Raw genomic sequence first — 12,166 nt, forward strand, 5'->3', positions numbered from 1 at the left:
TGAGCAATTCCTGTCCCTTTTAAGGGCTCACAACTCTAAGGAGGTCCATGTGAGAGGGTCGTGATCGATTGAGCAAGCAGGGGGTAAGTGACTGGGGGCTGCATGCATCAGTAATTAGAATGGAACAGAACGGGACAGGGATTTTCACAGTGCTTTTCTATACAATGTCTGTAATCTATAGATAACATAACCGAGTAGGTCAGGGGTCGATCTTTAACTACCAGGCCCAGGGTGTGGCGCCAGGCTGTCTGCTTGTGGATTTCATTCCTGCCTTTTAGTTTTTACTTCTTTCTTTAGAGGCAGAAATTGAGCATAAGGCAATATGAGGAGTGGTCTCCTCCCTTAATGCCATTCTCTGTAACACCTCACCCTACCACCCTTGGCAGCCTAACCATATTACTCCAGACCTGCTAAGCAAACTCCTTTGCCACCACTTTCCACTCCCACATAACAGGGAAGGATCACAAGTCAGCTCCTTCCCCAGCAGCAGGTTTCTGGGTGCAGCATCTTGGAATCTCACAGGGTTTCCAGAGATGACGGCGGGTGGCTCCGGCTGCCCCTGCACAGTGCCCTCTACTGGCCGGGCTGGGATTTCCAACCCTCCAAGTGCTGTTTAAATGCCTAGGAAATAGTTCTCTTTAAAGTTATATTACGGCTGCTCTTATAAAATGTGCCTGAATTTTGCTTCAAATAAAAGAGATGGAGACTTATTCTGCATGGAGTTGTCATGTAAATATGTTTCTGTTGGAAAGGTGTGGAAATGTTACCACCAGTCTGTGGTTGGAGAAGCGCAGCTTTTGGCTGGTCCCAGCATTGACACAGAAACTGCTGTGTAACGGTGAGAATGTCAGTCTAAGATAAATTATCGCAAACATCAGACCCCACCTATTAGGCTGCTAAGAAAAGGGTTTGCTTTTTTCTGTTGCCCTAGAGCTGATGCAAACACAGAGGCTGTGAAATAGGCAACAAGCTGACTTTCCACGAGATGTCAGCCAAAGCTCACAAAATGTGTTGTTTGATTGAATGAGTCTCACATCTAACTGAAGTAATTAAGGATGCTGGCAAGAATTTAGCTGGAGGATCTTTCGTGAAGCAGTTTATAAAGTCCAATACTAGAAGGATGGCAAAATAAATGATGATAGATACTTGTGTTCTATTGGCAAGAATTTTGAAGAAGTGTAATTATTGATATCAAAATTCTATATGATCTGTTTAATACAAAAAGGTTATAAACCTGTATTATGTGTGCATTTAAAAAGTATATATTATATAATATAAAGTATGATTATACATGTTTTAAAAGTGTGAGTATATACGTCTCAGAATGTTTCCAGGGCCGTCTCTGGATGATGGTGTGATGAATTATTTTTAATATTAGTTTTCCATAGCTGCATTTTCTAGAATGAGCGTTTGCTGTGCAATTATGAGTTTGCATTACTGATGTAATTAGAAAACACAGGGGGCCAATTATCTTAGTTCATTTTGTGCTGCTATAATAAAACCTGAGAGTAATGAACCTGTAATTTATAATGAACAGAAATTTATTTCTCACAGATCTGAAGACTGGTGAGTCCCAGCCAGACTGAGTGATTGGCCTGTGGTGAGGGTCTGAGTGATTGGCCTCTGGCGATGGTCTTCTTGCTGTGCCATCTCATGGTGTAAAGTAGGAGAACAAGAGAGGGCAAGAGAGAGCAAAAGGGAGCCAAACTCATTCTTTTTTTTTTTTTTTGAGACAGTCTTGCCCTGTGACCCAGGTGGAGTACAATGGCATGATCTCAGCTCACTGCAACCTCTGCCTCCTGGGTTCAAGTGATTCTCCTGCCTCAGCCTCCTGAGTAGCTGAGATTACTGGTGCGTGCCACCACACCTAGCTAATTTTTTGTATTTTTAGTAGAGATGGGTTTGGCCAGGCTGGTCTCAAACTCCTGACCTCAAGTAATCCACCCACCTCAGCCTCACAAAGTGCTGGGATTACAGCCACTGTGCCCAGCCTTCAAACTCATTCTTTTATGAGAAACCCACTCCTGTGATCATTTCCATAATAATGGCATTAGTCCATTCCCTCTGCCATATGGCCTAATCACCTCTCATTAGGCCTCACCTCCCAACTCTGTTGCATTGGAGATTAAATTTCCAATACATGTTTCTGGGGGACACATTTAAACCACAGCACCCCTCATGTGTTTTTACCTTGGCTTTGCAAAATCAGGGGCCATTTATCCAAATAAGACAATGGCCCCAAACATTCTAAAGCTGCTATTGTACAGCAGGTACAACACATAGTTGGTAGCAATATATTCAGCTTTGTCTTTTCAGTTCAGATATTAAGGGTGGTCTTATCATTCTACGGCAAATCCAAAGTTTCTACTGAGGTCGTTTCAAGGACTCTCCCTTAGAAGCATTCTAGGGCATTCTCAGGCCAACAGGTATACTCACTGGGCCTCTTTGCCAAACTCCATTTATCCTTCATATCTGCTGCCAGGTAAGCCAGCCTCAACACTGAGTTCTTGATAGTTTCATTGAGCTTTCATTGCTGAATTTGTTACCCTAGGATTTATAATCAAAGTAATTAGATCTAGGTATTTCTATAAGATCATTAGACCTTATGGTTTGGGGATAAAAGATTTAGTAAATACCTTTGCTTATTCTCCTGCTGCTTGCTGTGTGTGTGTGTGTGTGTGTGTGTGTGTGTGTGTAGGCAGTCTTATTTCAACTGTCTTTGTTTTGTCCTGGATTATCTTGTGTTTATTGATCGCATAAGGGAGTGTTCCACGAAAGACAGATGCATATATGTTGATTATTTTCTGCTTCAATCTAATCCAGTCTTGAAGACAAATGGTTAGAGGTTCCTTAGACCTGTGACAATTATGTGAAAAGGCAATTAGTCGAACTTAGCCTTGGGCACCCTACAAAACCTTCATAATGACATTTATACTTTTGTCAACTTGTGGAAGAAGACCTCTTTGCTCAGTCTATATTTTAGGTCAAACAATTGTTGGGTCATTGGCAGCCTCGTTGATTTCTAGCTTCTGCTTGGTCTAACTTCTGACACCACTCATGAGCGCGCACTGTAGCACAGTCGACTGTAGTGACCCATCTTCCTTACGTGGATTTGTCTGTATCAAATTTTCAAACTCCTGCAGAAATTCTTCTTTCTATCTATAGTCTCATTATGATCCTTACTCTTGCATTCTTTTAGGTAAAAGGCAAAAGATGGCAAAAAAGATGGCCATTTTAAGGAAAGTTTGCTGTGTCAAAATCAAATCATATTTTAGGAGGCACTCTAGAAAAACTGGGAGGCAAACACACCAATCTTTCAATAGTCAGCTTCTTTATTTGGTGTGGTGGAGCTGAAAACACAAGTTGTCCAAGGACACTAACCTTCTGAAACCCACCCTGTTTGGATCTAAGCAACTTTTAACTTGTACCCCTTCTAGTCTTTTTATTCCTTCCTCCAATCTTCTAAATGAGTTAGTATTGCCTTGGGATTTCTCAGGAAAGGAACATTCATGTAAATGTGCAAGATCAGAAGGCAGATATATAGACATTGAATTTAAAACCTAATTTAGAGCTGAGTCAAAGACAATCTGTACAGGCTGCTATTAACAGGATACCATAGACTAACCAGCTTATAAACAATAGAAATTTATTTCTTACAGTTCTGGAGGCTGGGAAGTCCAAGATCAAGGTGCTAGCAAGGTAGGTTTCATTCTGAAGCCTCTTGTCTTGGCTTGCAGGTGGCCATGTGCTCACATGACCTCTTTTTTGTGCATGTGGGGAGACACTGTGTGAGAGAGAGCAAGCCCTCTGGTATCTCTTCTTATAAGGACACTAACCCTATTGGATCAGAGCTCCATCCTTATGACCTTATTTTACATTAATTATATACTTAAAGGCCCTACTTCCAAATATAGTCACTTGTGCGTTAGGGCTTCAACATATAAATTTTGGGGGGACACAATTCAGTCCATAGCAATGCTATAAATATTTTCTTATACTTCAGGAAGATGGACAGATATGTGCAATAGGATCTTTGTTATGTACTATTTTCATGAATGACTAGATGTGTACAGACTAGTTCACTTCATTTTAGCCCCTCAAATGGGGAAAGTAGTTGAAAACAAGGGGTTAGGAAAAAGATTTAAATAATCCATCTGAAAATTAAAAAATAATTAATTCTTAGAGACAAAAAGAAGGAAGCTCATTAAACACATTTTAGAAATCTGTCTCTTAAAAAGTAAATTGGACAAAGATGAAAATTTTCATAAAATAAACACTAGATTTAAAAATTGGATTCCAGGAATCTTTTGAACATTATTCTAGGGTAGGATCAACAGCTGAAAATGGACTCTGATTTTAATTAGGAGCCATAAATGAAAATATATATATAGAAAATCATGAATTTAGAAGGTAACATTTTCTGATAAGTAACTGAGCCATAGGAAAAAAAGAAGCTAGAAATAAAAATAAATATACAGCTCTATAAATGAAACAACTGGTCCCCCAAATAAAAACAAGACTCTAAGAGCCTCTGTAGTCTCTAAGAATCATGAGGTTATAAATAAGGACACCTGTAGATTTTGAGGAGAAAGACATTGGAAAAGCCAATGCCGTCTACTGAGGGTGCTACTCTTGGGGAGCTATTAGCACCCCCAAGTTCCTTGTCCTTTCTCTAATCTTCTGAGGAGAATTGTTTACAGATGGACAATGACATAGTTCCTCTTTTGATATGCATGGCCCTGTATCTACAATAAATCCTACTTCCATAGAACATCACCCCTTCAGAATCAAATTTTAAAGTTGTCTGAAAAGAATAAGGAAGGCACATTGACCAAAAGCAAGAAGAGAAAAATGAGAAATTTGGTTTTAAACTAAAAATGTCTTATTGTGCCAGATTGTCAAAGAGACAAACTTGAGGTATGCAATAAATTGTAGAAGCCTTGAGGGCAAATAAACTTTGTCTGTCTCGACTTACTAAAACCATCCAGGTAGTGGAAATTTCTAACAATCCTAAGCCCTTTCCTAAATTCCAACATGGTGTCTTCATCAGATGAATACTTTTTTTTTTTCTTTAGGGAACAATCTCTACATATCAGCCAGAGTTCTCTAGAGAAACAAAACCAATATGATATAGATAGATAGAAGATAGATAGATAGATAGATAGATAGATAGAAAGACATTTATTTTGAGGGATGGGTTCATGTGTTTATGGAGGCCAAGAAGTCCCATCATCTGCCGTCTGCAAGCTGGAGGTCCAGGAAAGGTGGTGGTGTGGTTCCGTTCAAGAACCAGGACCTCTGATGTCTGAAGGCAGAAGATGGATATCCCAGCTCAAGAAGAAAGCAAACTCACTCTTCCTCTACCTTTTTGTCCTATTCAGGGGTTCTCAACAGATTAGGCCATGCCCCCCCCACATTGGTGAGGGTGATTTTCTTTCCTTGGCCTGCCTATTCAAATGCTAATCTGTTCTGCTGACAGTAGGTGGAGTTTTGAAGAGTGTGGCGTTCAGGATTCGTGGAGTTTCAGTGGTGTCAGGGGCTGGTGCAGTCTGTGTAAGTGTGGGTACTCATGTGAGACTGCTGAGTCCTTGGAGAGGTCCATGGAACCCTTTTTCTTCTCAGTCTCCTCTTTTTGTCCTCATTCAGCCAAAGTTACAAGAAAGAATCAAAAAAATTATTCACCTCTTTACCACTATAAATGATTCTTTCTGAAGAGGAGGTTTCATTTGCAAAGATCGTATTTTCAGTTTGAACATTGATCAGCAGAATTTCATTCTTATTTCATCTTTGAATATTTCATTGAATCATCTGTCAGGACAGTAGCTGCACAAAATCATTTAAGACTCTAACAACAGATCTCAAACAATTGTGAGATTAAAAAAAAAAAACATATAGGCTGGGCGTGGTGGCTCACGCCTGTAATTCCAACACTTTGGGAGGCCAAGATGGGTGGATCATTTGAGGTCAGGAGTTCAAGACCAGCCAGGCCAACATGGTGACCCCATCTCCATTAGAAATACAAAAAAATTAGCTGGGCGTGGTGGCACACACCTGTAATCCCAGCCATTGGGGAAGGCTGAGGCAGGAGAATTGCTTGAACCTGGGAGATGGAGGTTGCAGTGAGCTGAGAACACACTACTGCACTCCAACCTGGGCAACAGTGTGAGACTCCATCTCAAAACAAACAAACAAACAAAACAAACAAACTTAGGAATATTATTTTAAGAAGGGATTGGGAGATTTCCTAAGAAAAGAATTTTCAACAACTTGGTGAGAAGCTCACCTTGCCTTTCTTTTAGCTTTGACATAGATTGGACCAAGTCACATAGAATTACTCTAGATACAGGAAGTATTATACAGGAAGTATTATAGAATTACTCCAGATAGCAGGAAGTATTATTAGCGACAGCCTAGACTCTCTCTTAATTGGCCCAAATAAAATCCAAGCTGGCCGGGCGCGGTGGCTCATGCCTGTAATCCCAGCACTTCGGGAGGCTGAGGTGGGTGAATCACGAAGTCAGGAGATCGAGACCATCCTGGCTAGCATGGTGAAACCCCGTCTCTACTAAAAATACAAAAAATTAGCTGGGCGCGGTGGCGGGCGCCTGTAGTCCCAGCTACTGGGGAGGCTGAGGCAGGAGAATGGCGTGAACCCAGGAGGCAGAGCTTGTAGTGAGCGGAGATGGCACCACTGCACTCCACCCTGGGCAACAGAGCGAGACTCCTTCTCAAAAAAAAAAAAAAAAAAAAAATCCAAGCTTATTCTATTATGCATAGCTACTATTTGGGCTGAGGAATTTAAACTGGCTTTATGTAGCTTGATTAAATTCACATTAGTAGCCTTAATTATAGAAATGGCTATTATTTGGGTCTTTCTAAGAGTTGGGAAGGCAACTCATCCTTAAGTTCACTTCAAATTGTCCTTCAAATTGGCTGCACAAGCAAAAGCTTAGGAGAGTTGTATTATAAAATTCAGCTCTCTAGTAAAGCCTAGTATTGGGCAAGAAAAGTAATTATCACCTAGACTTCCTGGTATCATCTCTTTTTATTCATTTTTAAGATAACATGAAAAAACCATTAAATTGGGATTTTGTTTTAGACTATCCAAAGATTGGTTATGGGCATAGATACTTTTTGAGTGAATGGAACACAAGTACGAGCTTCTCCTTCATTGGATAAGAGTAACAGAAGGCTGCCAGACTGAGTGTGTACATAGGAATATGGTAATATGTGAGGGAAAGAGTAACAATCAAATTAGTAAACGGCAGAAAAAATGTTGGGTGGTTTCTATTAACAGTAGGGATTTGCTGCATATATTAACATCAGATTTAAAGGTAATCCTAGTACAAGACCAAAAGATGCTTTGACTAATTTAGTAGAGGCCTGTAACTGCTTGGATACATGAAGCTAAGCCTTGGATATTGGATCAAAGAATAGCTAAAAAAGACCATGAGTTTTTGACATATGCCATGCCATAGAGGTAATACTTTTAAGAGCATCACTGTCCATTAAAAATATGTGAGACACATTGGTCATTTTAAGTTTTTAAAATATTAACATTTTTTAAAAGTAAAAAGAAATAGGTGAAGTTATTTTAAAAACATTTTATTTAACCCAATGTATCTAAAATATTGTCAGTTCGACATTTAACCAATGCTGAAAATTATTAATGAGATATGTTACATTTATTTTTACATATTAAGTCTTCAAACTCCAGTGCTCTAACCTCACACTTAGAGCACGTCTCAATTTGGACTAGCACAGTTCAAGCTCTTAGCCTTGTGACATACCTTATCCTTTCATGGACATGCAAGAGAATTATGATAATCTAGGAAGAATCCATCTGGACACTTACGGGTTTTGCTCAAATTAACTAACCAAAAATACATCCAGCTTTGTCTTTGTACTTCAGATATTGTGGGTGGCACGTCATTCTCTCACAGTATTATCACTTTCCTATTTGATGCTACTGAAGCCACAGTGGGAAGATATGTCTCTGTGGGCTTTCTATTAGGATCACAGAAAGTGAAATCTTTTCTGTTTTCTCTTATGTAGCAATTTGTGGGCTAGCACCTAAGGAATTTCTGACTCTAAAGACTAAATCTTATGTGGTCTAAAATTTACATTAAAATGTCAGCATAGTGTGCAATAAATATGTGGGTTAGTTTTAATTTCTACCTTTGGGGCTGTCAGGTGCCACAATGAGGAATACCTACTTTTTCAGGGGGAGCCAGTTTATATAATATATATTTTCCTAAGTAATCATTTTTGTCAAGACTTTCAAATTTACTGGTTTAAATGAATACGTAGCATTCTCTTATATTCCAATCGTCATTATATCTGTAGTTATGACTCCAAGTTAATTTTTTTTTCAAACAAGAGAGGCTTTATTTAGATCACCAAAAAGAACATTTTACAGAAAGGGAACCGTAACATTACACAAAAAAGTATAGCTGTAAAATTGCAAACAAGAAAGGCAATGCTTTCTTTAGATCACCAAAAATAATGTTTCACAGAGAAGGAACCGTCAGAAGCAAATTATAGCTGCAAATTTTCTTTTGCCATCAATATGGATTCCCTCTAAAATACTTTGAGACTACTTTGCAGTTTTCAAGTACAAACTAAACCTTGTTGGACAGTTGCTCAGCTTCATCAAGAGAATGAAACCAATTTGCAAAAAAAATTTTGTTTAATGCTAACAAATAACGAAACAATGTGGTTCTTGCTGACTAACTGCAATGTCTGCTGAAATGGCCTAACCTATGTACACTTCCATGAACATTTCACTGTGAACAGTTGCTTTTTACCTGCCATCACAGATGGCCTACAAAGTAGCAAGTGTCATGTCAGAACACTTTCAGGCACCTAGGAAATAATTCTAAACAGAGTAACTACAGTACATGGGGAACTCAAACAACAGGGCACACCTCTGTCAAAGCCCCCTGGTGGGCACTTTGTTTTGTGCTCTGGATAAAAACCCACCACCTTGTTAATTTTTTACCTGGAACTCAGAACACCATGCTAGATGGAGCAGTTGTTCTTACAGAACCATCAACACTTATTGACTGCCTGGGGGTTCCTGGTGCTGTAATGCACCTCAGAGGCAGCGACGTAAGCTGACTCTGGGAAGAAGTCATCGTGGTATTCTGCTAAAAACCTCACAAAGAGATCAAAGTGCTTCAATAAAGCCTTCAGATTCTTCTCAGTAAAGGACATTTTTCCAAGAATTTCTGGAAGTTTGACAAACAATCGCAGCAAATGTTGCGCCCCGTAAATGTAAGAGGGTGGAGGTGGCTGGTCACCTGGTGGGTAATTGTCAGGTACGAGCTTCCAGGAGAGGACCTCATTTATTTCATTAGTTCTTCTCCCTTCAAAGCCAGCAAACACAGGACTCCCTTCCTGGCTAGGAGTCAGAGTAGGTGAAGATGATCTGCTATGCACAGGTGTCTTCTTTTCCAGGTGCAGGAACAGCTTGGGCACACTGGTGGACATGTCCTGCTGCCAGCGCTTGGGCTGAGGTGAGGTGCTGCTCTTAGAAAGCCTGTCACAGTTGGCGGTGTGGGGCGAGGACCGCCTCAGAGACTGCACTGCTTGCGGCTCGGCTTTGCGCCTTTTAGGGGTGGCTGGTTCACCGCTGGTCGACTGACTCTCTGTAGACTGCGGCCTGGATGGATTCAACAAACGTAAGCTGGGAGAGAGCTTCTCCTGGCTCCTATTAGTATTTGTGGCACTTTCCTTAATTGCAAGAAAAACCTTAGATGCAGTCACCTTTTTATACTGAGCTTGTTCATAGGGATAGAGTAAAACCAACGGGAGAGTGTAATCAAAGGTTATTCTTAATCCATCCACCATCTCCTTACAAAGGTCAATATTCTTTTCTGCTGGGATATAAGGCACGTTCATGCTGGCATGTGGCATAGCGTGATGGTGACGAGGCCTCTCATTGGCTGAAAAGGCTGCACTGATAGCAAAATGCTTCACATAGGATTCCAAAATCGTTATGATGTTGGTGTGGCATGGAAGTTGCACTAACCGTTTCCTCCGATTAATGTAGTAACAATCATCCTCCAGCTGCCTCTTCAGAACTTCAGGGATTTCTAGAGTTACTGTTCTTTCTTCCATTTCCCTTTTTGTTTGAAGCTCCGGTTCTTCTTTCACTTCAGTCTTTTCTTCAATATCACATTCTTCACTTATTTTTTCATCCTTGTCTTCACTACTGTCAGAGGAACTGCTTAATGAGTTTTCATCATTTTCATTTTTTTCTTCGATGGAGAGGCCTTTTAAAAAAAGACAGAGTCAGCACCAAGCAACCTGGAGCGGCTGCTTCTTTCTCTCTTGCTCCTCAGGTGAGCTACAGCATTTCTTGCCAATTTATGCTGTAATCTACGAATTTCTTTCTTTCTTTCTTTCTTTTTTTTGTGACAAGAGTTTCGGTATTGTTGCCCAGGATGGAGTGCGGTGGCGCGGTCTCAGCACACTGCAACCTCCGCCTCCCGGGTTCAAGTGATTCTCCTGCCTCAGCCTCCAGAGTAGCTGGGATTATAGGCGCCCACCACCATGTCCTGCTAATTGTTTTGTATTTTTAGCAGAGACGGGGTTTCACCATGTTGGCCAGGCGGGTCTCAAACTCCTGACCTCAAGTGATCCGCCCACCTCGGCCTCCTAAAGTGCTGGGATTACAGGAGTGAGCCACCGCGCCCAGACCCTAATCTACGATTTTTTTTTTTTTTTTTTTTTGAGACAGAGTCTCACCCTGCCGCCCAGGCTAGAGTGCAATGGCGATCTCGGCTCACTGCAACCTCCGCCTCCCGGGTTGAAACGATTCTCCTGCCTCAGCCTCACAAATAGCTGGGATTACAGGCGCCCGCCACCACGCCCAACCACTTTTTGTATTTTTAGTAGAGACAGAGTTTCGCCATGTTGGCCAGGCTGGTCTCAAACTCCTGACCTCGTGATCCACCCGCCTCCGCCTCCCAAAATGCTGGGAAACAGGCGTGAGGCACCGCACCTGGCCAATCTACGATTTTCACTGGGCTCACGAAGCACATGATCTTCGGCTACCCATCTATCCCAGCTTCAGTTCCAACCGTTACAACGGATCAGCTATTCTGGGATCTTTCTGCCTTTTTCGCCTTTCCCAACAATAACATTAACAATCTAGGTCGGACGGCGTCCGACGGGAGCGTCCCACGGGAGCCTACGCGGCACCAGGCTGCACGGCAGGGGAGATTTAACGCGAAGAGAGAAACCCACCGTAGTTAAAAGGCCTCCTCCGTCGGCGGCTTGCGTCCGCGTCCCGGGCGCACACGTAGCGCCGGCTGCGCGACAGGGCGCGCGCGACGCTGCCGACGGCGCATGCGCGGTCCGGCATGCCGGGCGGAAGCCCCATTTGATTTCTAATGCTATTTATTTATGTATCCCTTGTCTCTCTTTAATTAATTATGTTGTTGAACTTTATCTGTTTTACTGGTCTTTTAAAGGAACCAGCGCTTAATGTTTCTTGATCACGTTTTTGTTTTTATTTTCTTTAATTTCTTGACTGTATTATTTTGTTCCTTTTAACTTAGGTTAAACTGTTCTAAAATCGTTTCTTGAATTGAAAGCATAATGAATTTACTTCCATTTACTTTTGTTTGCTAATAAATGCATTTAAGGCTGTCTATTCTCTGAGTACCAGTTCGTGATTTTCCTTTTGTTTCCTTCTTTGATACAAGCATTATTTAGAAGTTTTTATTACTATTTCTACTTGCAAGATAAATTTAATATTATTCCCTACTTTAAAAATCCTAAGTATACTACCAAGAGATATTGAATATTAAAATAATTAAAATTTATAGTCCTAACATTTTGCTTAATGATAAATACTAGAAGCATTTCATTTGTCAAGAAAAAAATCATTTTATATTTAATTTTAAAATTAAATATGCAATACATACAAAACCTTTTGTGGCATGCATAACATATAAAGAATAACAATAAAATGTCACTCATGTTGGTGTTTGAGTTCTTATGCTCTTGCCAACACTTAGTATTGTGTTTTTGCTAATATTCCCAGTGCAAAATTGAAGTAAAATTTGTATTTTTCTCCTTTATGATAGGCACTTTTGGTGTCTTATTTAAGAAATCATTTTATGTTCCGTGGTTATAAAACTTACCTCTCACGTTT

The 12,166-nt window shown here is 40.6% G+C and overlaps 1 protein-coding gene across 1 annotated transcript; it reads right to left on the reverse strand.

The window, feature by feature from the left end:
* Window positions 1-7,589: 7,589 nt before the first annotated feature.
* Window positions 7,590-11,313, reverse strand: MSL3B (MSL complex subunit 3B). Its single transcript, NM_001425333.1, has 2 exons — window positions 11,254-11,313; window positions 7,590-10,277 (listed from the first exon to the last, which is right to left on the reverse strand). The coding sequence occupies exon 2, from the start codon at window positions 10,120-10,122 to the stop codon at window positions 9,052-9,054; it is 1,071 nt and encodes a 356-aa protein (NP_001412262.1). The 5' UTR covers window positions 10,123-10,277; window positions 11,254-11,313; the 3' UTR covers window positions 7,590-9,051.
* Between the last annotated feature and the right edge of the window lie 853 nt (window positions 11,314-12,166).

Source organism: Homo sapiens, chromosome 2, assembly GCF_000001405.40.
Source record: "Homo sapiens chromosome 2, GRCh38.p14 Primary Assembly".
In the NCBI taxonomy this organism is placed as follows: Eukaryota; Metazoa; Chordata; class Mammalia; order Primates; family Hominidae; genus Homo; species Homo sapiens.